Genomic DNA, 27,595 nt, shown 5'->3' with positions numbered 1-27,595 from the left:
CACTGCAGCCTCAGACTCCTGGGCTCAAGTGGTCTTCCTGCCTCAGCCTGCGAAGTAGGTGGGACTACAGGCACACACTGCTTGCACCCAGCTAATTTAAAAAATTCTTTTTTAAAGACAGAGTCTTGCCAAGGATGGTCTTGAACTCCTGGCCCTAGGCTACCCTCCCATCTTGGCTTCCCAAAACTCTGGGATAACAGGCATGAGCCACCACAGACCCAGCCCAATTTTTAACTGATGGTAACTAACTGAAATATGTTTAAGGCTCTGAGTGAGTCAAAACAAGTGCGAAGGCTGGATCCGTGACTTTTGACCTGGAAAGCAAGAGTGACAGGTTGCTGTCAGATCTTTCCTGTTTTCCTTGGGGGCGTAAACTGGCAGAGTAAGGGGAGGTGGGTCCATTCCTGAATGAATACCAAACCAAACAGAGAGGAGGCTAAGGCCAAAAGACCATCTTTTTGCCTAGAGGGATTCTGGTTTCCAGCACTTGACCCAGTGCTCAGTGTACTCACTGCAGGTATGAATTGAGTGGGACCTAGTGAATCTGTGCCCTAGAATGCTATTGTCCCATAGCTGTGAAGTTAGGCCACTCTGCTTTGCATGACTTTTGGAATCAGAGGCAATCCAATTTTAGTTATATATTTTTAAAAAGTTTTCCAGTCTAAATATAGCACTCTATTGCCTTCTCTTAAATTGAAAATGATAATAATACCTACTTGATACAGATGATAAATGTGTGATAATTAAATGACCTCACACAGTTATAATATTAATAGCTACCGCTTATATATGGCATACCAGCAATGGTTCTCACCACACTACATTTATTAATTCAGAAATCCTTGCAACTCGATGAGATAGGTACATTTATCCCCATTTGTTGGATGGAGAAGTTGAGGCACCCAGAGATTAGGTAATTTTTCCAAGGGCCCATAACCAGTGAGTGGTAAAGATATGAACCCAGGCAGCCAACCACCCCAGAGGCTCTTTATGCCATGTCATGTTATAGGGTCTGGCACTTCACATGTCTCCTCCCACCTTAGGCCCACCAAAAGAATCTGTGGGCAGACAAGGGACACAGGAAGAATGAAGGCAGCCCAGAGAAAAGGGTTTGGAGTGCCAATGGGAAGGCCTGGGGCCCAGGAGCATGCGGAGAATCTCAGCTCCAACCTGCAGCAGCTGAGGGCATTCGGTGACATGCACTCAGAAAGCCCACTTGCCAGTCAGAATTGAAATATGTGAGGAGCCACTTTGGGAGGCCAAGATGGGTGGATCACATGAGGTCAGGAGTTCGAGACCAGCCTGGCCAGCATAATGAAACCCCGTCTCTACTGAAAATACAAAAATTAGCCAGGTGTGGTGGTGCGCGCCTGTAGTCCCAGCTACTTGGGAGGCTGAGGCATGAGAGTCACTTGAACCTGGGAGGCAAAGGTTACAGTGAGCCAAGATTGTGCCACTGCACTCCAGCCTGGGCAACACAGCAATACTCTGTCTCCAAAAAAAAAAAAAATGTGAGAAACATAAAGTAGATGGGTAAGAAGACAACTTCTCCCAGGCACAAGGAGTTGGGACTGATAGTTTTACAAATTGGGAAAGGGGGTGACTTCTGCATTAGGCCTGGAGGATTGGTTGCTTGAAGCAGAAGCAAAAGACGACTGAGAGGCCGGGCCCAGTGGCTCACACCTGTAATCCCAGCACTTTGGGAGGCCGAGGTGGGTGGATCACGAGGTCAAGAGATAGAGACCATCAAACCATCCTGGCCAACATGGTGAAACCCCATCTCTACTAAAAATACAAAAAATTAGCTGGGTGTTGTGTTGCGCACCTGTAGTCCCAGCTACTCGGGAGGCTGAGGCATGAGAATCACTTGAACCCTGGAGGCAGAGGTTGCCGTGAGCCGAGATTGTACCACTGCACTACAGCCTGGCGACAGAGCGAGACTCAGTCTCAAAAAAAAAAAAAAAAAAAAAAGACGGAGAGACTCAGGAGCAAGCAAGAATCATAATAGTGACAGTAACAACCATAGCAGCAGCACTTGGGCACCTCTTGTATACAGGTGCTGGTACTTCCACAGACATGCTCATTGAATCCTTTTAACAACCCTCGGAGGCAGGACAGGACCTCCCATTTTACAGATGAGTTCATACTGCCACCTCTTCATACCAGAAAGTACCATGAATCTGAAGGACCTACTGTCTCTACTCGTTGTTCTACCCCAAAAGGACCAAGTCCCCATCAGTCTGTATGGTGCTCCTAGGCAGGCCCTTGTCAGATTCAGCACCTATCAACCAGAAGACACTTGAACTGTTTATCATCCTGATGCTATTAGGAAGAAAGCTTACTGAGGCCTTAAAGGTGAGTCAATGCTAAGCGAAGAGCCAGAGCAGAGAAGCAGTGGCTGGAAACAAATGCTGAGTGTCCTGCAGCACCGTGAAGTCCTGGAACAGGTGCAAAAAGGAGCACAAACCTTTGCCCCTAAGGCCTCAAACGAATCACCTAAATGGGCACATCAGGAACAATAAAAGCAAGAAGAACCCTCAAACTATTCCTACCCCATGAACATAGTTTAAAAACTGCTGCCATTGAAATCCTTGTGCCCACAGTGGCAGATGTGGGAAAGGCTGGAAAAGAGCTCCCCAGGCCAGCACGTGTTGCACGTGTGGGGAATCAGCTTCCCTCTAGAAGCAGAAATGCAACAGGCACCACCCAGCCAGGGGCTGCAGCAGGAGCACAGGTGGGTACATTCCCAGTGTCTTTTATGTCACCTCTCTGCTGTCCCCTCACGTGGCCAATGCCCCCACAGCAGGAATGAAAGAAATCTACTGCGGCCTAGGTTTCTCCAGGCCTCTGCTGCCTCCACCAGGGAGAAATAAGAGAGGGCAATTTGCAACGTATCTTTGTGTAACAACTAAGGGGCAACCAAATCCCTCACAGCTCTCAACAGCATAGGACTTTCTGACCTGGACGTTGGTCACTTCTAATTCAGAAGTCCTGGCTGGATCCCAGGAGCAAATCTGCACATTCCACCCAGCACCAAGGGGGAATCTTAGCTCTGCTCTCCTGTGCTTAAACCTGTTTGTACGGGGTACAAAGACTTTTGGGGAGTTGGTTTTGGTTTTGATTTTTGAAGAAAATAATTATTAATGAGAAAAATTTCTCCCTTGAGGATTCTCTGTAGCCTGCCTGCTTGCGTGCGAAATGCCCATTGAAGGCATTGCCCTCTAACAAAACGCCACTGGCCAAGAAGCAAGTGTTTCAGTCTCGACGCACAAGCTGATCCCTTTGCTCTGTGCCTTCCCTGTATTCCTTATGCAGACAAAACTGCCCAAGAAGTCACGAAGGCTTGTGATTGCACAAAGATTCCCAATTCAGGCTCCTGGAATGTCACTAACCTGAGCCTGGCCAGCTTCCCAGAGGAGCATAGACAAACTTGGTATTCACAGCTTTCCCAGCCCTGCTAAGTGTTCAGGGCATTGGCTTTGTGTTTATAACTCATCTCCTAAAGAATATTAAAATGAAATGGTTCAAAGCCAAGAACATTTCAGCCTTTGAGAGGGCAGAGCCTGCTGAGTGCAGGCGGCCTTGTTTGGAAGTAGCCCCATCTGCGGCCTGGGCTCTTGCAGGCCGGGGAGTTCTGCAGCGTTCAGTGACAGCAGATGGAATGGGCTCTGTCTGGTTAGAGTTTAGGGAGCAGGGGCTGACTAAGTGGATTCCTAAGATAAAATTTCCTATGCACGAATATGTATATCTCCCCCGCCCCCACTGGTCCTAGCCTCTAGCCACATTTTACACAGTAGACTGGAAAAATGTCAGTATCGGAAGCTAGTCACTGCATCTCACCCAGGTCTCCTCTTTTTTACCTTACACGACCCTCCCTTTTCTCAACTCTTCCCCCTGTGGCCTGCCTTTTCAGCTTGCCCAGTGCTGGGCCCTCCCCACTCCCTGCTCACTGGGTTACTGATGCTCCTTGGGCCCCGTGTGTTCCAGAGAGACCAGAAATCAGGCACCCCTGGTGTACACAGGCCCTAGGTCTTGTGGGCCCCTGACAGGTGACATGGACACCTGGGAATAGCCACAGTGAGGTGTCCTTTACCTTCCCATGCCCTTCTTAGCTGTCCCTGCTACCTCTCTCATGATGCCTCCAACCTCAGCTTCCAAGTGGGGCCTGGTGGTACAGTCAAGTGAGAGTAAGCCATGGCTGGCCACGCCCCAGTTGCCTGTCTCCCTTCAGACTTCCCACTGCCCTGGGCCCCTGTGCGCTCTGAGAGAGCCTTCCTCTGTCCCTTCTCAGGGCCCATTTGTTTTTACAAAATGCCCAACCAGCCTGAGTTTGGCCTTGCCTTTGAGCTCCCCAAGCAGCACATGTGGCATCCATCCCTGCTCTGTGCCCCACAGGGAGTGAGGGAGAAAGGGGAAGTGAGGGTGCAGTGGAGTGAGGCTGAGGCCCAGAGAAGGAAAGAGATGCCCCATACTCTGTTTTCACCAGCATTAGGAGGATCCCTTCTCAGAAACTTCTGGAAGTCACCCTAGAGTAGTCACATCTAGGGGATTAGGGTCCAGGGTCACTCAGCAAGTTAGAGGCCAAGCAAGGCCTAGAATGGAACCCAGGTGCTACCCACTTACCACACTCCAGACCCAGAGAGGGAGTTGTCCCATCCCCACCCCACGCTGCTGAGGGTGCAGGGCTCTGAGCAGCCCTAAAGGAGAGGCAGGTAGGGGCTGCAGGGGTTGGCAGCCCTTGGGGCCAGTGGAGGAGGAGGAGAGGAGGCCTGTTCCCCACCCAAGTTTGTGCGTTGACCCCTCTAGCTGGGGCAGAGCTGAAACCTCATCAAGCTTACTCACCAACTGCTGTCCCTTCATTGTGTCTGAGAGCAAAGCCTGTCTTCATTTCTTTCCTGGGGAGGCTGAAGTGCATGAGCAGCATGATGACCACGTTCATGAGGTTCGGGTTTTTCACTTCTGAGCTGGTTTGTAATTTGCGTTCAGAACTTCTTAGAGAAGCCTATGTAACTTACACCCCGACTTGGCTTCAAAAAGGATTTTTAAGGCAGCTTATGGAAAACGCATCTACATCACCAAGACAAGTAACAGGAACTTGAGGTTGCTGGAAGCCTTCACTACATGGTGGCCCCAAGTTGTGGTCATGGAGGGGGGCTGGTCACTTTCCTGGTGGTGAGGACACTTAAGGCAGGCAGATCCCAATGGCGACCAGGCCCTGTGTGGGCACTCTGCATATTTATACCTTGCGAGCCTCACCTTGTCTGCTGCCATTGGATCACTTCACTTTATGGATGCACACCTGTCCCTAGAGATGGCCACGGACTTCCTTGTATCACACAGCTAGTGAGTAGCAGCCCTGCCACTCCCTGAAGCCATGTCACAGGCCCCTGTCTATGGCACTGTGAAAGTGTTCCTCATGAAGAGGGTCTCCTGTGAGGACCACTGAAGGCTCTGGGGTGAGGAAGGAGTCTCTTCCGGGCTTTATGTGTTCTCAGGCTTCCCGTGTGGCCTCCACAAGCTAGCAGACTCGAACAGCAGCCCCCAGCAGGGTCTAAGTAGCTTCAATGTGTTTCCTGGGTGAGGGAGCTCCTCCAGGTTAGCGCCAGGCTATGATTTGGGACTTTCCATTTTTAAACTCCCTGGGGTCCTTTGCGGTTGGTACAGAGTAGGGACTATTTCCTAAGACTGCTACAAAAGACAATCGTCACATTGTAGAGAGGCCTCCCTCTTAATGAAAGCTGTCCTTACTGTTCCAACTCCTGCCTTAGGACAGCCACAGGAAAATGAACGCAGGGTTACTGGAATTTATTTTAATTAAAAGCCTCCTGACCTCCCCTCCAGTGGGCCACATTGCAGTCCTGCATTCCTCTTGCTCTTGGGATGAAGCCTTGTTTTCTTTTGCCTGTATACGTACATCTCTACACAGAATCTTTCAGGGTCTTTTGGAATGACATGGCTCCAAGTCCTCAAACAGAGCCGTCTGGAGAGACATCAAACCACCCTGCTCACCGAGCCACACCTTCTCCCTGCTCTAACTCACAGACAACCTAAACATTCTGTTAGAGTGAAAATAGAAGATTCGTGGCCTTGGAACACCTGTGCCATTAGGGCTCAGATTTACAAGCTAAGTCATGCTCCTGTGTTTTAGAAAATGACCTCAGCTTCTGCCCAGGCCTTCGGCATCAGATTGCAGAGGATTCTAGAAGTGGTTTTCAAAGGTAGGGGTGGCCTTGTGTGAGAGTGCTGAAACTGCTGGCTCTTTGTGAACCTACACCCTGTTTCAGGGCACAAGGTTCAGGCCGGGAGGCAGCAGCCACTTGAAGGGGCTATGACTTCCTGTCCTTCTGGAAATCCTGTTGTCACTTGTCCCAGGTGGAGATAGACTGGGATGTCCATTGCCAGGAGAATAAACTGCTTCTCAGGAAGTGACCCCTTTGCTGTAGTAATAGGACTCAATTTGCCCTCCCGTCAAAGGCTGCTCATGTGGATTTAGTTCTCAAAGTTAATTTGGAGGTGAGGGGGTTGGGGGAAATAAGTCAGGATCTTGCAATAAAGGAGCTTTCTTGTATCCTAGATAAAGATAAAAGTGGTTTGAAATCTATAGACAGGGAAGGTGCACACGTGGACACACTAGACCTTCCTCTGTTCCTAAGCTCTAGGCCATTCTAATATACAGGGGTCCTAACCTGAGTTCACAGATGCCTGATGTGTGGCTGGCTTACATGTGACAACATCCGTCTGGGAACCCTCTATCTGGCCTTATCCCCCTGTGACTAGAGACCTACCAGGAACAAAAATGGGAAAAGCACAAAACCTTAGAGAAGCCAGGGACTTAAAGGAAGAAAGAGAGCAGCGACTTGAGGAGGCTGCCCCCAGAAGGCAGATTCCCAGGCAGGGCCCATCTCCGTCTGCCCACCACAACGCCTGGCCTTCTGTCACTTTGATAGCCGCGTTGCCTTCATGTAAGGAATACACTCCTTCCGCACTCTCCTCCCTTCCTTCCTCCCTCACACCCGTTCCCTCTTCCGGAGGTCCACGTACACTGACAAGCATCCTCTTTGGAAAATATGACTGGGCGTCCGTAAGTCTGAGGTTAGGAGCCGTCTGCACATTAGTTGGAACTGAACCCTGCAGCATCCTCCCTCAAAGCTTCTCTGTGAGCTGAGCTGCACTGAGGGAAAGGAGCATGCCATTCTCGGGTTGAGAGGACCAGCCCAAACAGGGTGCTTTTCGGGGCAGTTAGGGGAAGGAATCCTGGGAGGTGGGAGAACATTACAAAGAAGAGGACTAGAAAGATGTGAGGTGCGGCTGTGTCCACCCGTGCCAGGGAGATCGGCTCCTACCCCAGGAGAGGGCAGGGAAATGCCCCCTAGCCCTTTTGGCCTCTGCCTTTCCCTGAGCATGGCAGTGCTGCTTCAGCCAAAGCCCGGAGTCTGAAACTCAGTGCACGAATTGCCCCATGCCTTATACATCTGCAGGTCTTCACCGCAAGCACAATAAGGGCCCATCGTTAGGGACAAGGCTGAGATGCGGAAAGACCTTTACTTTTAAAAAGAATTGCTCAGCTACGTTCTTCAGTTGACTCCCAATCAGCCAGAAAATTAAAATAACGAAAGAGTACTCCACTCCTGACTATCTTCATTCATTTTAGACATGAATGTTCATCTCTGTAATGCTTTTATAATCAATAAAATTAATGCCACTTCATCCTCAACATTTGCTGACATTAGATTATCAAAGTAGCCAAAGTTAATACTCAGTTTGCACATTAAATCTGCAACGTTTTCTCGCATGGGCAGCTATGAGGAAGAGAGGTAACATTTTCCATGTGGTAGATTTTCTCCCACCAAGACAAAACCTTCTGAGGAGTGCTCCAGAAATGCATCTGCTGGTCTGGCTGGGGACAGGCCCCATTGAAAGAGAGGGTTACAAGAATCCAGTTCAATTGATTTCTGCCTCACTGCAGACCCCAGGGCCAGCTGGCACTGAGTGCAATTCCTGCTCCTGTCTGGCAACTGCCTGGAATCTACATGGAGTAAATCATGCAGATGAACATAACTTGTTTCAGACCTAAGCTTTCTTTAGGTTGACTAGATTTGGTAGACATATTTCCAAAGTGTTTACGTCTCTCCTTTCTAACACAGATCCTATGGAATGTAATTAGATCATTTCTTAAGACCCAGGATTCTCATTGTGAATTTCAGGCATGTTCTCAGAGCTCTTGAGGTGTACAGGGCTGTTTATCTGCAAAGGATGCTAGACTTCTGTGTCTTTTGATTGCTCTGTGTGTTTTCATGTTTCTGTCCTCTCAATGTCCATTTCTGTCCTCTCAATGTCCATTTCTGTCACTTGTTGCTTCCAGTGTGCCTGCTATTTCAGCCTAGTATGGGGACCCATAGCCACAATTATCAAAACTGTCCCTAAAATTAAAATCATCAACATTTATTGAGCACCAACTGTATGTCAGTCCTGTTATCATTTATTCATATGCATTAATCTGTTTACTCCTTATACCTCCTTATAAGGGAGTTATTAATATAATGGTCCCCTTTTCCAGATGGGGAACACAGCAAGGCACACAGCTGTAAGGGGCAGAGCCAGAATCTGGGCCTAGATAATGCAAGCCCAGAGCCTGCTCTCTTTCCCATTCACCCTGCTGCCTCCAAGAAGCAGCACACTTTACAGGGGCTGATTGGATTTTTGATCCTCGTGTGTTCTAGAGAGCTGTACCTGAAGATCATGGAGGCCACTTGGGAAGCACCTGGCATTACCGTCACAGAATGAGAAAAATAAATCCAAATCAATTCATTGGAAAAGATAATGAAACAGATAAAACACTAGCTGGCCTAATCAAGAAAACAGAGAGGAAGTACAAATGCAAAACTAGAAATGATAGAAGGGAATAACCAAATATTGAGGAAATTTCTAAAAGCAAAAGATAATGGTTTGTACAGTGCTCCATAATAAATATGATATTTCCAAGTGGAAATGTCAAGTAGACCACTGTATATACGGGTCATGATCTTCCCCAACAGACTTTATGTGCTTGTCATGTGTCACCCTGAAGCTATCTTCAACAGGTGCTTCTGTGGGAGTCCCATGTCTCTTTGGGGAGGAAGCCTTCGCATTTTCCTCTTGTAGGGTAGGGGCAGCAAACTTATGCACATGGGCCAAATTTGCTCACCACCTGTTTTTGTAAATAAAGTTTTATTGGAACATGGTTATGCTCATTCATTTATGTATTGTCTACGGCTGCTTTCATGCTACAACAGCAGAGTTGAATAGCAACAATGGAGATCATACAGCCTGCAAAGCCTAAAATATTTACCATCCTGTCCTTTACAGAATAAGTTTGCCAACCCCTGTGCTAGAGCCCTGTGATTTTTCCAGTTTCAGACTAGTTTCTGTGCTGGTTTCTTGGTTCAGGATTTCCAGACCAAGTAGGTGGTACACATTCAGACTACATATATGCTTATTTCAGGTATTCTTTTTCTAGTCAGAACCTCTGGATAGACACCCTTAATTCCACACCTGGAACCAGTGCAATTGTTCTTATCTTCATTTTAGAGATTCCTGGCTGTCTTAGTGTTTGGGAAGCTGTAACAAAACACCATAGACTAAGTGGCTTATAAACCACAGAAGTGTATTTCTCACAGTTCTGAAGTCTGGAAAGTCCCAGATCAAGGCTCTGGTAGATTTGGTGCCTGACCTGCTTCCTGGTTCATAGACAGCTATCTTTTCACTGTGTCCTCACAGGGTGGAAGGAGTGAGGAAACTCTCTGATGGTGTATTTTATAAGGACACTAATCCCATTCATGAGGGTGCCATCCTCATGACTTAATTACCTCTGAAAGGCCCTGCCTCTGACTATCATCACCATGGGGGTTAGATTTCAACACATGAATTTGAGGGGGACATAAATATTCAGACTATAGCACTGGCTGTATTCATTTTATTTCCTGCGTAACAAATTTGTTTACTCACCCATTTATTACCTTGCAGTTCTGTAGGTTAGAAGTCTGGTGTGGTAAGGCGTGCTTCTCTGCTCAGACTGAAATTGCATTGTTGGCCAGCTCCACTCTCAACTGGAGGTTGGGGTGCTTTCTGAAGTTCGTTCCTGTTATGAGCACAGTTCAGTTCCTTGCAGCTGTAGGACTGAAGTCCCTGTTTTCTGGAGAGCTGGTGGCCAGTGACCCCTCTCAGCTCCCGTAGGCTGCTCTTGCTCAGGTCCTTCCACTATATCCCTCTCCATCTCAGCAGCAGGCAAAATCCTTCTCATCAAATCTCTGTCATGCTTTCCATAAATATGACTTCCTTTTCTGCTACCAGCCAGAGAAAACTCTGCTTTTAAAGGGCTCCTGTGATTAAGTCTGGCCCAGGGGATAATCTTTCTGGTTTTGTTTTTTGTTGTTGTTGTTGTTTTTGTTTGTTTGTTTGTTTGTTTTTTGAGACAGGGTCTTGGCTCTGTTACCCAGGCTGGAATACAGTGGTATGATCACAGCTCACTGAAGCCTCAACCTCCTGGGCTCAAACAGTCCTCCCACTTCAGCCTCCCAAGTAGCTGGGACAACAGGTGCACATCATCACATCTGGCTAATTTTTTTTTTTGGTATTGTTTATTTTTTGTTTCGCCATGTTGACCAAGCTGGTCTTGAACTTCCAGGCTCAAGCGATCCTCCCACCTTGGCCTCCCAAAGTGCTGGGATTACAAGTGTGAGCCACCACCCCCGGCCATAATCTCGTTTTCTTCAAGTCAGCTGTACCCTATAACATAAGCTCATCTCAGGAGAACTATATCTTCATACTCACAAGTTCCATCCATAACCACAGGGGAGGGACTACACAAGGGCAAGGGCCACGGGTCACCTTAGAATTCTGCCGGCCACACCAGCTTTTTGCAGGGAGTCCTATTCAGCTTTCCACCACAAATGAGCCTCAGGCTTCATCCCTAGTCCTGCTCAGGCTTAGAAAACCCCAGTACTAGTAGATGGACCTTTTTTCTAATATGCTTACGGGCCATTCAACCTCAGCTCCCGCTCACTTCTCTGGCTTTTAGTTCTCTCGTCATTTTCCATACCTGAGGTTTTCTTTTTCTTGCATTCAAGATTGGCATGCATTTAAAAATATTTGTGTTATATTATAACCAGTATGTTGAAGTATTTGGAATGATTGGGGTTTTGAATGATTTCTTCCCTCAGCGGCATGTCAGCAATATTTTCCAGATTTTTCATGTTTTAGAAATATGTACCAAGATTATACTCCAAATCCATCAAAATAAGTGAACTTTCAGAGTCCTACCCTCAGTAAAGTCATAGTTACCCTATAACTAAAGTTATAGGAAGAATTAGTGGTTGATCAACCTGAAAACTTACCAGTGTGTTCAGATGTGGGGCATAGTTTCTTCTTTTGCAGTAACTTTTCTTTATGTATCACCGGGAAAGCTAGATGTATGAAAATTAAAGAAAGTAAATTACGGTATCCTTCAAGACCTAAATCCTTTCTAATGAAACAGGCAGATTAATGGGCAAAGGACAGTCTTAACTGTTTTTTCTTGTCCCAATACCTCTTTCCAAATAGCTCAACACTGCTAACAGTATATTTATTCTGTTTCCATTTCAAATCTGTGAGCAGTTTTCAAAGTTATGATAAATGCTTTTCTTCAGATGTAGCTGAGCAGTATTTTCAAGAGAGCATGGCTCATCTTAAGGATTCTGAAGGGATGGGAAGAACCAAATTTCTTTCAATTCAAGATGAATTTTGCCATTTTCTACAAATGACTGGACAAAAAGAGGTAAGTGAGTTTGGATCACAATTGTCTAGTTATTCACAGTTGATATCCAAAGGGCAACTCCTTTACTCTGCAAGCATCCATTAAGCATCTACTGTGTGCAAAGCATGTGCCAGTCTCTAGAGGGACACATAAATAAGGCTAGGGCTCCTTTGGGGCAGCTTCCAGAGATACTTGCTCTTAGAAGCTGGGAGACTTTATGAGAATATAGATTGTCATGCCCACCTACAAAAGATCCTAAAGAAATAGTGGACAGGCCCTGCTTATTGAAGTCCTGCAGATCTGGCTGGAATAGTGTGGCAGTTAGTGTGTCTAATCCCTCTCTCCTCAGTTTGGGTAATGAATGGAGTTTGCATGTCTAAGGAAAACTATACGGTGCAGAAGTTACAGCTCAGTTGTTTAGTATTGATTCGTACAAGCGTGATTTACGTGGCTTATGAAAATAGAGCAAGACCCAGACCTTATATTCATTGGGAATTAAACCCTTGGGAATGCATTCCCTGCAAAGCCTAACATACCATTGCTTTATGTTTTTATATATGTGTGTGTGTGTACATATTAATACATATATATATATACAATCGCCCACAGATAGGAACAATTATATATATGTGTGTGCATATATATGTATATATGTATGTGTGCATGTATGCCCACACCCTCTTCTCAGCGCACCTAAGTCCTGTTTACTTTTCACTCCTCTCCGTTAAGTTTTTTTTTTTTTTTTTTTGAGACAGAGTCTTGCTCTGTCACCCAAGCTGGAGTGCAGTGGTGCAATCTCAGCTCACTGCAACCTCCGCCTCCTGGGTTCAAGCAATTTTCTGCCTCAGCCCCCCGAGTAGCTGGGATTACAGGCCCCCGCCACCATGCCCAGCTAATTTTTTTGTATTTTTAGTAGAGTTGGGGTTTCACCATTTGGCTAGGCTGATCTTGAACTCCTGACCCCGTGATCCGCCCGCCTCAGCCTCCCAAAGTGCTGGGATTACAGGCGTGAGCCACTGCGCCCGGCCTCTGTTAAGCTTTTCTTATCAGAGGTTAACGCCATCTCAATTTCCTAGAAAACCATACATACATACATATATACACACTCACACACATATATATATAGTTGTTCCTCAGTATCTGTGGGGGATTGGTTCCAGAGCCCCCAAGGATATCAAACTCCAAGGATGCTCAAGCCCTTGTACAAAATGGTGTCACATTTGTATATAACCTAGACAAAGCCTCCTGAATACTTTATATCATCTCTAGATTGCTTATAATACCTAATACAATGTAAATGCTATGGTAGTAGTTGTTACACTGTATTTTTTATTTGTATTGTTTTTATTGTTGTATTGTTATTTTTATTGTTTTTTCCCATATAATTTTTGATCTATGGATATGGAGGGCTGACTATGTATTTTTTTCAACTCTAACCTATCATGGCAAATCTTGGAAATGAAAAACTTTATTTCCCTTACCGTCTGTAGACCTCCTCCCCCACAGCTCTTTTCTCATCCTTAATCCCCCCTCCACCCCCGCCTTCTGTCAGCTAGGGAACACGGGCTTTTATGCCGATATACCTATGTTTCTCAGGCCAAAGTAGGGCCACAATCACCAGGACAAATTGGAGTTTCAGGATGTTTCTCAGTCACCCAACCCCAGGGAGAGAGAGGGGCCTTCCAGGGGCCTCAGACTCCCTCCCCATTCCCCCCTCACATCTCTAGAAGACAAGGGGAGTGCTCAGGTCAGAATAATGGGGTAGGTTTGCCCCCTCATGCCCCACTCCATCTAGTTCCTCAGCCATTTTTTCCTCCAAAATAGATCTTGAATGCATCCATTGTTTTCCATCTTTAGTCCTGCCACTCATCATCTCTTGCCTGGACCGCTCTAACAAGTTCCTATCTCTCAGCTGCTTTTTCCATGCTTGCCCTCTTCTAATCCACTCAGAATAAGGAAGCCATGGTGATGTTTCCAAAAAGCAGATCTGACCACTGAACACTCACTTGTAAAAGCCAGTCCACTGGCTCCCCGATGCCCTCAGGATAAACCAGAATCCTGACATGGCCCACAGTACCGTCCACGACCTGGACTCCACTGACATTTCCAGGCTCATTTTTGCCTCCTCTCCCTGATCCATGTTCCTGCCACACTGGCCTTTTCTAATTCCCACTTCCGGGCAGTGCCAGCTTCTGTTTCCTCCTCCTGGAAGGCCCTTCCTCATTCATCTCCAGGCCAATGCTAACCCATTCTTCATTTCTTACCAGCTTCTCTGATTCCTCTCCCCAGGCTTCATTAGATACTCCCCATTATTCTTCCTTAGAGAATCCATTTGATGTCATCAAATATTTGTAAGTATATATTCATGTGGATATTTAACATCTATCTTGCAACTAGACCGAACCTGTGAAAGCAGAGACCCTCTTGCCTGTGGTGAGGAGTGATGAGCAGAGAGGTGGATGCATGTTTGGCCACAGGCCAGCTGACTGTTCTGACTCCTGTGGGCCATGCATCAGTTCCCCTGTACTGCCTGGCTTCCCACCATAGTGTCTTGCTGAGTCAGCCAATGCTCAGTGTCACTGATGCTATGCCTCACTGCCCTTGCCCAAGTCACCCAGATCAGTGTTGATCAAAAGATGCACCTCACTCTCCTAAGCTGCCCTCGAAGATTTTAGCAAACTGGCTCTTTTCATTCTAGGGCCACTGCCAGCCCATCCAATGCCCTTATCATAATAGAAAAAGCTGCCCCTTCCTCAGGTAGATACCGCCCATGTTGGAGAGGACCATAGGCTGGATTTCAGCCCTCCCCATGCTCCTGCCAGGCACCCTTGTGTGTGGCACCACCTGCCCAGCCAAACATGGCAGTCTCATGCTGTTCTCACCATTTGGTTGCAAACCTCTCACTGTGGGTTCTAGCAGGTGTTGGCCAACAAGGGCCGGGCCCAGGGACAGTCCCGGAGCCAAGAATGGGGCTGTGCTCAGGCCATCCCAGGTGTTCCCACAGCACATGGCCATGGGCACTGTGGAACATGATATTTGAGGGATGAAATGCCTTTTAAGGTAAAATGTAAGTGAAGGTCACTCTGCCACAGGTTAAGCTACTCCGTGAGGGTTTGTCTTCTAGTTGTGCCACTCTTTTGCTCAAGAATCTTCTGTGACTTCCTCAGCCTGGCCACTCACTGGCCCTCAACAGGCCATGTGTTCCTCCTGTGCTCCCAGTGGCCCATACCCTCTTCTCATCCCACCTAAGTCCTCTTTACTCTTCACTCCTCTCTCTTAAGCTTTTCCTAGCAGAGGTTGATACTATCTCAGTTTCCTAGAAACCCGTGCCATTTAACTTCCTTCACATCTCCCCGTTTCCGCAGTCAGGCTGTAGGCGGCATCCAAAGCTTTATCTGGGAAAGGGAGTCTCCCCGGGTCTTCTCCCCATCACTGGCTCCTCTAAGTCTGACAGTGATATTTTCCCACAGAAATATCACCAAACCCAGCACTCTCAGCAGTCCAAGTCCTTGCTCTCAGAACTTGGGAGATGTGATGGGCTTTACCCTCAGGCAAGTCTAGATTTAAATTCTAGTCCCTCATGTACCTCAGTGGGGCCTCACTGCTGAGTTACACAATCACTCTGCCTCTACAGAGATTCCTCTTTCACCTGAGAAATTTATTTCTGCCTCATCAGCACCTGTAATGTGGTTCCCCTACCCCGGCCCTATCCCCTAACTTGTATTATTGCCAACAAAAGGATTAAACGCCCTCCTTGTCCTTCTGTTTGTGGAGCACTTTTGGGACCCCTTTGGGGCTGTGTCATGAGGAAGCTCCCATGGTCCCTGCTGTATTTGCCAGTTAAATTCAGCATCCATGCTCTGCAGCTGATGTCGTGCCTTCATGTGGAAGATCGTGGAAGAATTTCTGGAGAAAGTATGGAGGATTGACATACTTTAACAGGGTTTCCCCCTGCATATTTTGGTGTCTGAAGAAGCTAATATCAGGAAATACTATGTCCTGACCAATTCATAATTTTTATTCCATGTTAGTATAAATAAATTGGATAAACCAAACAAAATGTCATGTCATGTTGGAATGTTTACTTTCAGTTTCCTAAACGATTTCCTATGAGAATAGCCAAGCCTGGAGTGTGTTCAGGATGTTCTATACATAGATAATTTGCCCAGGAATGCTATATTTTCACTTCTGTAAGAATAGCATTGTGGACAGAGGGAGAAAAGCATGGGACTAAAATGTATGAAAATTAGACTGGGCATTGTGGCTCGCGCCTGTAATCCCAGCACTTTGGGATGCCAAGGTGGGTGGATCACTTGAGGTCAGGAGTTCAAGACCAGTCTGGCCAACATGGTGAAACCCTGTCTCTACTAAAAATACAAAAATTAGCTGGGTATGGTGGTGGGCGCCTGCAATCCCAGCTACTTGGGAGGATGAGGCAGGAGAATCGCTTGAACCTGGGAGGCAGAGGTTGCAGAGAGCTGAGATCATGCCACTGCACTCCAGGCTGGTAGACAAAGAGAGACTCTGTCTAAAAAAAAAAAAAAAAAAACCTCCAGATTTCCACCTGCTGTTGTAAAATGGAAGATCTGCTGAGACGGTGAGACGGATTTAAAAAAAAAAAAAAAAAAAGGTATGAAGATCACTGGCTGGATTCAGATCCTAGCACCACCACAGCTGAGCCCTCTGACTCTGAGCAAGTTTCTTAACTGCCGTGCCTGTTTCCTCCTCTGCCTAATGAGGATTAAAATTTTACCCATCTAAAGAAGACAGCAAAAATTAAATGAGACCCACACAATTGTGTGTGTTCAGCACAATTAGTGACATGTGAGGACTGATCCATGTCAGCTTTTGTTCTTACTACTCAACTGAAATGGATTCCTGTAATGGCTGAGTGGGTTTATTTTGCCAGGTGTCCTCTCTCTTCATAGTTTACACCTTTCCTCACATTCGTGTTGTTTCCTGACTCTTGTTCAACCAGAGGTGATATGATTTGGCTGTGTCCCCACCCAAATCTCGTCTTGAATTATAGTTCCTATAATACCCATGTGTCATGGTAGGGACCCTGTGGGAGGTGATTGAACCATGGGTGCGGTTACCCCCATGCCGTTCTTGCGATAGTGACTGAATTCTCACAAGATCTGATGGTTTTATAAGGGGCTTTGCCCCCTTTGCTCAGCACTTATCTCTCCTGCTGCCCTATGAAAGAGGTGCCCTCTGCCATGATTGTAAGTTTTCTGAGGCCTCCCCACCCATGTGGAACTGTGAGTCAATTAAACTTCTTGGCTTTATAAATTACCCAGTCTCAGGTATCTCTTCATAGCAGCATGAGAATGGACTAATACAAGAGGAGAACAGGCTCAGCTCGTGAGACTACCACACCCATGTGAAAATGTTACAAGTTGCGTAATGATCCTAATCAGCCTTTGAGCTTGTTAACCAGATAGCTTTTTGTTCCTTTCACAGAGAGCAACCTCGATCCTGAGAGAGTCCCTGGAAGCCAAAGTGGAAGCATTTGGCGATTTCAGTCCCGAGGTGGCAGAGACATACCGGCTCCTGGGAGGAGCAGACCTGGCGCAGGGGAACCACAGTGGGGCCCGCAAGAAACTGAAGAAGGTAAAGCTGGAACCAGTACTAACACGAGACTAGGCTCTCCCTCCCCTCTCCAAGGTCAATTTCTCTCCCTTGTGGTGGTTCTTTTAAATGAAACTTTAGAAGTGGCTTGTTTAGATAGGATGACATCACTTTTGTGGTAGATCTAACCTGATACTTTTTGGGTAAAAGACATAGTAAGCCTCTTAGACATACATATTTTTTAAATGAATTATCAGTTTTTACTATGCAAATATTTTTAATTTTTTACGTAGTACAATTGATCAGTCCTTTATGTTTGCGGTGCTCTCTCTATACTGAGTTTATAGAGGAATTCTCTTACACTTTCTTCAATTGTCATTCTTCTTTAAATTTGGAGTTTATTTGTGTGGATGGCATGAGGAATGGATCTAATCTTACCTTTTTTCCAAATGGCCACCCAGTTGTCCAGCACCATTTAATTAGAGAGCCCATCTATGCTCCAGTGACTTCAGATAACACCTTCATCATATACTGATTTTCCTTATGGACTTAAGTCTATTTCTAGATTTCTCTTCTCTTCCACTAGTCTTTCTGTTTATTCATGTGTCAATATTTCAGTTTTAATTACAGAGATTTTATAGAATGATTTAATATGTGATAGGAGTAGACACCCCTTATGGCTTTTCTTTTACTAGAATATCAGGTGTTCTAGCTATTCTTCCGTGTTTATTTTTCTACATGAATTTTTGTATCAATTTGTCTAACTCCATAAAGAGCTTACTAGTATTTTTATTGCATTATTTATAAATAAATCTTGTGAGAATTGACAACTTTGTGATATTGAGTTTTTCTATCCAAGAACAAGGGATATCTTTCCATTTCTTCATTCCTACTTTTGTATCTTTCAGGCACATCCAAAAGCGTTCTTCATATAGGTTTTGTATATTTCTTATTAAGTTTAATTCTAACCATTTGATCTTCGTTATTACTATTATAAATGGAGATTTATCTACTGTTATATCTTTTGATTTTTTTAATATATGAACCCAGTTGGTTTCTCTGTGTAAATTTTATATCCTGCTAATTGCTTAATTCTTTCATTGCTTGAGTTAATTCAATCATTGAGTCTCCCAGGTTTTGGGGGTATTCTATTACATTATCTGCAAATACACTTAGTTTTACTTTATGCTTTCCAGTTCTTATGCCTCCAATTTATTTCTTTTGTCTAACTGCATTGACTTATACCTCCAATATAATAATAAACAGTAGTGGAGATAATGGGCATCCTTGCCATGTTCCTGATCTTAGTGTAAATGCCTCTAGTGATTCTTTATTTAATAGATGCTGGTTTTAGAACTAAGGTTTATATATTTTATCATGTTAAGAAAGTATCCATCAATTTCTATTACCGTGAGTGCTTTTTTAATTAGAACTAAATGTGGAATTTTACCAAAGGCTTTTTCAGCATCAGTGGAGATTATCAGATGGTTCTTCTTAGATCATTTAAATAAATCACAATAAATAAACTTATTTCACACTACCGGAGATTAGGTAATTTATAAAGAAAATAAATTTATTTATTTTAATTCTGGAGCCTGGGAAGTCCAAGATCCAGGGACTGGCATTTGGCAGGGGCCTTCCTGCTGCATCATCCCTTGGCAGAAAGCAAAAGGAAATGAGAGAGAGAAAAGGAGGCCAAACTCAGCCTTTCATAACCAAACCACTCCCAAGATAACAGCATTAATCTATGCATGAGGGCAGAGTCCTCATGGCCTAATCCACTCTCATTAGGCTGCATCTCTCAACGGTGTTGCATTTTGGATTAAGTTTCCAACACATGCTTTTTGGGAGGCACATTCAAACCATAGCAGATGTTGATTCTGTATGCTAACATTTATTTTAGGATTTTTGTGCCAATATTTGTATGTATTATTTGTTTAAGGATCAATGTTATATTTGCTTATAAAAATAATTTGGAAGTTCACCTTATCTTTCATGCACTGAAAGAATTTATGCAGCATTGAAACTCCGCATTCTTTGGAGGTTTATGTCTTCTGTGACATCCTTTAGACCTGCTGCTTCTTTTGTAGGGAAATTCCTTGACAATTTTCTCTATTTCTTTTACAAAAAGTGATCTGTTGAAGCTTTCTGTCCCTAATGGGGTCATTTTGGCAAACCGTATTTTTCTAGATAATTATCCATTTCACTTATATTTTCAGATTTATTTGCATGGAGATTTGAAAAGTGGTCTCGTGAATTTTAAATCTTTCTACTTTTTAACAGTTATCTTCCCATTATAATTTCTTAGTTTTATATTTGGGTTTTCTCTCTTTTTCCTTGACTTAGTTTGTCTATTGTGTTAATTTTTTCAAAGAGCCAGGACTTTAATCCCATAAATCCTATTCTCTACTTCCTTAATTTCTGATTTTATCTTTATTATTTCTGTCCTTGTACCTTATTTTGTTTTGCTCTGTTGAAATTTTTTTCTGTGTTTATGAGTTGGGAATTTAATTCATTTGTTTTCATTTTATTAATCTGTTTATGAATATGAAATTTTCTCTTATTGTTCTAAATGTATCTCATAAGTTACATCATATGTTTTCATTACATTAATTAGTTTCAAAATGGGGAAAACCTGGGAAACCCTAAGTAAGTAACATAATTAATCAAACCAAAAGAATTAACTAGTTCTGAGGGGCTATCCTATAAATCGAGTATTTTTCTCTTATGATTTTTCTGATTCTGCTGCAAAAGACAGTAGATTTGGTAACACGTGTGACACCTCTTTGTTAATGAGATGACACGTATCTGCTATCAGTTAGGTAGTAAATAGTTACTTGGCACCTTCAATAGGCCAGTCATGTGCTAGCCAGACCTGGGGGAAAACTGTGACCAAGACAAATATGAACCTTGTCTTTGTGAGTTCCCAGTCTAGCCAGGAAGAAATATATTAAATCAATCATTTTTAATAATTTAAACATTACCCATATGCCAAAGACATTTTAGTGAGGGAGAGGTGAGACGGAAGCTGAGGGTGGCAGGTTCCCTGCGTTTGCCCATGTGTCACCTCCATATAGTAAGAGCCAGTGCTGGCCAGGCACGGTGGCTCATGCCTGTAATCCTAGAACTTTGGGAGGCCAAGGAAGGCAGACCACTTGAGACCAGGAGTTCGAGACCAGCTTGGCCAACACAGCGAAACCCTGTCTCTACTAAAAATACAAATAATTAGCTGGGCATGGTGGCACACGCCTGTAATCCCAGCTACTCAGGAGGCTGAGGTGGGAGGATCGCTTGAACCTAGGAGGCAGAGGTTGTAGAGAGCTGAGATCATGCCACTGCACTCCACCCTGAGTGACAAAGTGAGACCCTGTAAAAAAAAGATCCAGTGCTTTTTGAGTGGTTGTTACACCGGTGGCACCATGTTAAGTGATTCGTGTATATTAACTCATTTAACCCCTACAGTAACCCTAAGAGGTGGTGTATTAGGCCATTCTTGCATTGCTATAAAGAAATACCTGAGGCCAGGCGTGGTGGTTCATGCCTGTAATCCCAGCACTTTGGAGGCTGAGCTGGGCAGATCACCTGAGGTCAGGAGTTAGAGACCAGCCTGGCCAACATGGCGAAACCCCGTCTCTACTAAAAATACAAAAATTAGCTGCTGGCGCATACCTGTAATCTCAGCTATGTGGGGAGGCTGAGGCAGGAGAGTCGCTTGAACTCGGGAGGCAGAGGTTGCAGTGAGCCGAGATCATGCCACTGCACTCCAGCCTGGGGCACAGAGCAAGAAAGACTCCATCTCAAAAGAAAAAGAAAAAAAGAAAAAGAAATACTTGAGATGGAGTAATTTATAAAGAAAAGAGGTTTAATTGGATTACGATTCTGCAGGCTGTGCAAGCATGATGCTGGTATCTGCTCAGCTTCTGGGAAGGCCTCAGGGAGCTTTTACTTACGGCAGAAGGCAAAGTGGGAGAAGGCACGTCGCATGGGGAAAGCAGGAGCAAGAGAGAATGGGGAAGTGCCACATACTTTTAAACAGCCAGATCTCATGAGAACTCACTCACTATCGTGAGGACAGCACTAAGAGGATAGTGCTTAAACATTCATGAGAAATCCCCACCTGTAGGATCCAGTCACCTCCCACCAGGCCCCACCTCCAATATTGGGGATTATAATTCAACATGAGATTGGGGTGGGGACAAATATACAAACTATATCACTTGGGTACCTGTACTCTGTATTTTATAAAGAGGGAAACTGAGGCTGAGAGAGACGTGTCTTGGCCTTGATCTCGTGGCTCAGAGTTGTTGGAGTGGAGATATTTTGTATTTTTAGTAGAGATGGTTTCGCCATGTTGGCCAGGTGGTCGGCATCGCACAGTGTATACTACAGGGCCATCTATTTCACATCGTGGAATTCCAAGACTTGTTTTTGAACAAGGGGTCCCTGAGCTTAAAAAATGTTTGGAAGCGAATGGCACAGTGGGGAGAATGCCAAGATTGGGACAGTAGGAGTCTTTGGGTTGTCACTGACAGAATACAGTTGAAACTAGCTCAGGTATAAAGGGGCATCTATTGTCTTGTGGTTTCCAAATAAGGGCCAACAGCCAGTGATTCGCCGGCAGGATGCAGCTGAGCCTCAGCTAGACTCTCATGCCAGGAGGGCGCTCTCTGTCCAGGACTTCTCCTTGCTCCTCTCTGCACATCTTCCTCATCTCTCATGGCAATGTCTTCCCTCAAGGTGAAGATCAAGGCTGGCAACACTCCAGAGTTTTACTTTCTGTCCCTGTGCCTTTTCTTTTCTCAGCTTGAAAGACCTCAAAGACCTCAGGGAAAGACTGACGGGCCTGGCTTGAATCCAGGGCCCACCCCTGGCTCAGTCAGCCAAGGCCAGGAGAGTGGTAAGCTATAAAAACATGGTGCTTCCAAGGTAACTGGGTGGCCTGGGGTGGAGGTGGCACAGGAAACACTATCCTATAGTCAGAAGACCTGGGACAGGGTTGCCAGCATCCCTCCCTGTTTTTGGCACATGTGCAATGAATACAACAGGAATGAAGTAGCCCCTTCCCTTAAAAATGTCCCAGACCAATGAGGGAGTTACAGACGGTAACCTCCCAAGTGCTCAGTTCCATGCGGCAGGTCCATACTGGGATCTACGGGAGTGAAGAGATTTAGGGAAAGTGTCCAGATAAGTAGCCCTGAAAAAAAAACAGTATAGGCTAAGAGAAACAGGAATTCCCAGGCTGGTGGGTTGGAAGAAGGACGCTCAGAGGCAAGACAGCAAAGTACATCTAAGGAACAAAAAGCAGTTGGAGCTGGCTGGCTGTAGGGTTGCTGGTGGGAGAGGTGCAGGGCAAATGCCTAAGACCAGGTTTGCCAGGTGAAGGGGCTGAGACCTGATCCTTTAAGCAAGGGTCCCAAACTATGGCCCACAGGCCAAATGCAGCCCTCCACCTGCTTTTGTGTGGCCCTCAAGTTAAACGTTTTTTACACATGATCATTTGCAACCCATTTGATGATAGGGAACACTAACTTTGAACTTCAAGTAAGTGAAAGGTTATCCTCCCCCCAAAATGAATCTATTTTTCTTGTTAGTAGAACTATATAGAACTATATTGCCCCAAAAAATGTGCTTATTATTGTATCTTGAATTTCATCAGAAGAAATTTGTGGAAATTTGTCTTCTCTCTTGTTATATAAGTGCTGCACCTACCTAGTAGCCTCAACTTTGTCTCTTGGACTATTACGTCTACAATATTTACCATATGGCCCTTTGCAGAAAATTTTTTGAGCCTTGCTCTAAGCAGCTGGGAGCTTGGAGGGAATGCTAATAAGCAGGGCACAACGGGTCTAGAGTTGTCCTTTGGAATTTTTTTTTAAATCACTATGAGGATAGTGTTGAGGATGGAATGGAGTGGACCAAGAATGGAGACAAGAGGACTCAGTTTTCTTTGTCCTCCTTCCATCCCACAGTTTTAGGGATCGAATGAGATGAACTGAGTGAGGCTGTTCTAATGAGCACTGGAGACTGCCTACGTGCAGGCCTTGCAGGCCGCTGGGAAGCTTTTCCAACCATCAGCACCTCTGCAGGAGAGAGGAAAACGCAGAGCCAAGGCATTGCCTGCCACTGGGAATACCTGCTTTCCTTCCCCCTCCTCACTTATCCCATGAAGAAGGTAGATGACATCTGGAAAAACTCTTCCTAGGGTTCAGCCCAGCCACTGCACCCCAGGCAGGGGAAGGACCTCAGAATAGAGGGGGGTGGCAAATGATAAGAGAGATACACAGAAACTTGAGCAGGGCTGAACAGGACCACACAGACCTTCACACTGTCACTGCTGGCTCCCAGTGGGACTGAACTGGTACCATGTGCCCCACCGTACACTCACTGCTGCCAGGTGTGGCTCATACATCATTCCTCATCTTCACAGCAACTCCGCAGGTCAGACCTGCATAGCTCTGTTAAACAGAGAAGGGGCCTGAGGCTCCCAGAAGTAAGCCAGTGGTCTGTGGGCAGGTTGTTCTTATATAAGGCCCGACTCTTTACTCTATGCCAGTGGCTCACCAAGTGTGCATCTTAAGCCCCTGCATCAGGGTCACCTTCTGAACCAGAGTCTCTGGGGCAGGGGCCAGGTGCCCAGGGTTCTGCATGTTGGCCAGTTTCCCAGGCGGAGGCTGAGAATCACTGCTCTGGGCCACACTGCCACCCTAGAGGCTAAAAATCAGCTCGGCTTCAAGAAACTCTAAGGGTGCATCACCCCAAAGCCTGTGGTAGAAGCTGGTGACCCCTTTTTCCTTTGGTTTGGCCTTGTTTACCATCAGTCCTGAAAACAATGGCATTGGCATCTTAAAGACACCTGTTTGCCAGGCTCCAAGAGAAATGATGGGCACTCGTATTTCTGAAGGTTGTGCACTGTGGTGCGTGCAGTTCTGATCTCCACTCCTCCACATGTACCTATGTGAGGACAGGCTGACTGCTCTGTGAATACCAGGGCACAAATGGGGACTTGAAACATGCTTTTCACATCTGCTGCTGACTGGAGTTTCTCAAATGCCATATTTAGCATTCAGCTCTGTGAAGCCAGCAGTTCCTAGAGCTAAGCACCACCCGGCGACGGTGGCTCTCGTGTTTATCACAGCAGCAGCTGCCTCCCCTAAGTTTTCAACTCAGCAGCAGGAACCCACTGAACAGTGGCTTTTCCAGATGTACCCTCCTGCACTGAATGGTCCAGGCATGGACCCACAGGCCTGAAAAACAAAAAACAGGAAGGCCTGGGAAACAAGGCACACACACAGCAGGATTAAATCACCGAAAAGGAAACCGTATTATTGATCTGCCTTTTAAAGGCATCTGCCTGCAGGGGAAAATCACAGAATTCTCTTGGCTCCAGGTGGAAATTTCCACAGCAAAAGTTCACCTACTTGTACAACATAGAAACCTGATTGTATTCTAGAATGGTCATCGTCACCAACGTTTTCCTCAGGTGAAAGGCTGCAGAAAGAATTCCTGAAGGCGGCTTCATGGATCAGGAACATCTCAGGAGTATACTGAGCCCAAGAACACTGAAGTCGGATTTGGGTCCAGTCATCATCTGGCCTCCGTATTAGGTACTATCTTCAGCAGGGTTCAGTCCACTGCCTCACTACTTTAGCTGTGGGCATTAAACATTTCCACACACAAAAAATTGTATGTGACCCCTTTCTTCAAAAACTCAAAGCCCACTAAAATGAATCTTTTTATGAAAGGAGTTGGAACGTAGTTTTTATTCAGAGGCTGTAGGCAAGAAAGCCAACGCTAAGAAGGTCTTTTTTTTTTTTTTTTTTTTTTTTTTTGGTACAGAGTCTCACTCTGTCACCCAGGCTGGAGTGCAGTGTCGCGATCTCGGCTCACTGCAACCTCCACCTCCCGGGTTCAAGCGATTCCCCTGCCTCAGCCTCCTGAGTAGTTTGGACTACAGGCATGTGCCACCATGCCTGGCTAACTTGTGTATTTTTAGTTGAGATGGGGTTTCACCATGCTGGCCAGGCTGGTCTCAAACTCCTGACCTCATGATCCACCTGCCTCGGCCTCCCAAAGTGCTAGGCTTACAGGCATGAGCCACCATGCCCGGCCTAGGAAGGTCTTATGTGGTCATAAGTCAAGACTGGAGAATAGGCTATTGAGTCCCTGCTATATTCCAGCCATTCCTCCAAGCAGGCCAATACACACAGCCTTCCTAGGGAAGGCCATACCTTATGTTAGAATCCGTTCCCTGTAATTCCATCAGTGGCCCCCTTTGTTTTACTTTCCCTTTAGCATATTTGGTGTTTTCCTTGTTGTCCTGCATATACCAGGAATTCCAAGCCAAATTTGGAGTTCCCACAGAGCCACCACGCCACGCCACATTGTTTTCATGTGTAGAGCCTCATTTGTCCTTGATCCTGATTTTTATAATCATCTTTGACTAACCCATTGTTGGACTGCAACAGCCCACCTTTTTTAAAGAGAGGGTCATAATGACATTAATTGCATATAAAAAGTCTTGTTCTTGGGTTGAGAAGTGTGCTTAAAGACTCTTCAAGCACTCGTGACTTGAAGATGTTTGTAAATCAGTTTATATGAGAATGAGAGCCAATTGTTAAAGGGGTCATGGTCATTCATTCTTATTTTGGTTAAGAATGAATTTGGAGGCTGGGCGCGGTGGCTCACGCCTGTAATCCCAGCACTTTGGGAGGCTGAGGCAGGAGGATCACGAGGTCAGGAGATCGAGACCATCCTGGCTAACAAAGTGAAACTCCATCTCTACTAAAAATACAAAAAATTAGCCGGGTGTGGTGGCGGGCGCCTGTAGTCCCAGCTACTCGGGAGGCTGAGGCAGGAGAATGGCGTGAACCTGGGAGGCGGAGCTTGCAGTGAGCTGAGATCGCGCCGCTGCACTCCAGCCTGGGTGACAGAGCGAGACTCTGTCTCAAAAAAAAAAAAAAAAAAGGAATGAATTTGGAGGCCCAGCGCTGTGGCTCACACCTATAATCCCAACACTTTGAGAGGCCGAGGTGGGTGGACCACCTGTCAAGAGTTCAGGACTAGACTGGCCAACATGGTGAAACCCCATCTCTACTAAAAATACAAAAATTAGCCAGGTGTGGTGGCGTGTGCCTGTAATCTCAGCTACTTGGGAGGCTGAGGCAGGAGAATTGCTTGAACCTGGGAGGCAGAGGTTGCAGTGAGCCGTGACCACACCGCTGCACTCCAGCCTGGGAAACAGAGCGAGACTCCGTCTCAAAAAACAAGAATGAATGTGGAGCCCCCCTTGCCCACTATAGGCTGTGTGGTAATAAGAATTCCAGTTCTCCTGACCACAGGCCTCCCTGGCATCATCAGCTGTGGGGAAAAGGCACCCTCCTGAGGTTGGGCCCGCCCAGCTATGGCACCCAGGCACAGTGCCCCTCCATGTTTGCTATCCCTTGGAAAAACACTTGATTTGTAGTGTACACAGACTGCCCACTGACAAGGCTACATTTGCTGTGGAAAAGCTCCTCAAACATCAGAACTCTGACCATGGCTTAGTGAGTGTACAGTGCCTCAGAGGGTCATCAATTGTCCCACAAGGTCTGGAGAGGTGCAGAACTGTGGGTCTGGACAGACCATCCTGGCCTGAGGCTCTCTAGCGGTTTTTCGGAGCTTCGCTGGAAACAGTGAGTTTATGGGTACATGGCCAGGGATGGAGGGAAAAGCAAAAGCTCCTATTACATAAATCTAGTGTAACTTTAAACAAGTTGAAAGACCAATGGTCAGGGATGGCTGGTGTGGATAGCACAGACTCGGGAAGGACTAAACCAGATCGCTGAGCTGCATGTAATAGGGAAATTTGCCAAGAGAAGGCAGCTCAGAAGGCCCAGCTTTAGGAGTCTGCATCCCTTGCCTTGGCTGGCTTAGAAATAGGCAGATCCAGCTTTTATACAAAAAGCCGGCTCCACTTGAAAAAGAAACCATAATTTCTATGTGGGTACACAGCAGGATTTCTCTCAATAGCAAGTCCTGCCAATGCATTTATTTTCTAAATATTTGTATTGCAGTCGTTGTGGAGAAGGATGGTGGTACCTGCTCCAGTACAGTAGCCAAGGGATGGAACAAAGTCGTGGGGGAGTCAAGGGATGTCGATAAGGACATTAGAACCCATGGGACTTGGCAACCTGGAGGTGAGGAGTGAGGGAGACAGCAAGGATGACATCCATGCCCCCAGGGCTGGCACCCAGGAGATACTCAGGGCGAGCTTTC

The 27,595-nt window shown here is 45.8% G+C and overlaps 1 protein-coding gene across 22 annotated transcripts in view, besides 1 other annotated feature; it reads left to right on the top strand.

The window, feature by feature from the left end:
• The window catches only part of TTC23 (tetratricopeptide repeat domain 23), a 114,903-nt gene that overhangs the window by 77,695 nt on the left and 9,613 nt on the right, over positions 1-27,595 (top strand). For 17 of the 22 annotated variants that reach the window (NR_109947.3, NM_001288616.3, XM_011521936.2 and 14 more), the window contains 2 exons: positions 11,664-11,791; positions 17,234-17,383. Coding sequence is in view for 20 of the 22 variants with exons in the window: in NM_001288616.3 (NP_001275545.1) it covers positions 11,664-11,791; positions 17,234-17,383 (278 nt within the window). In the remaining 2 variants the exon portion in view is untranslated. Of the gene's footprint in view, positions 1-11,663; positions 11,792-17,233; positions 17,384-22,144; positions 22,239-23,310; positions 25,023-27,393; positions 27,517-27,595 lie in introns of those variants that run through there. The other 5 variants (XM_047432959.1, XM_047432958.1, XR_007064487.1 and 2 more) reach the window with 4 other exon arrangements.
• Positions 18,867-19,662: an enhancer, noted in NCBI's record as "OCT4-NANOG hESC enhancer chr15:99694074-99694869 (GRCh37/hg19 assembly coordinates)". NCBI's record gives its function as "activates a minimal SCP1, AML or CMV promoter by ChIP-STARR-seq in primed H9 embryonic stem cells {active_cell/tissue: H9 hESC(primed)}" and the evidence as "EXISTENCE:reporter gene assay evidence [ECO:0000049][PMID:30033119]".

Source organism: Homo sapiens, chromosome 15 (genome assembly GCF_000001405.40).
Source record: "Homo sapiens chromosome 15, GRCh38.p14 Primary Assembly".
Taxonomy (NCBI): domain Eukaryota; kingdom Metazoa; phylum Chordata; class Mammalia; order Primates; family Hominidae; genus Homo; species Homo sapiens.
This window is presented reverse-complemented; position numbering and strand designations above follow the sequence as displayed.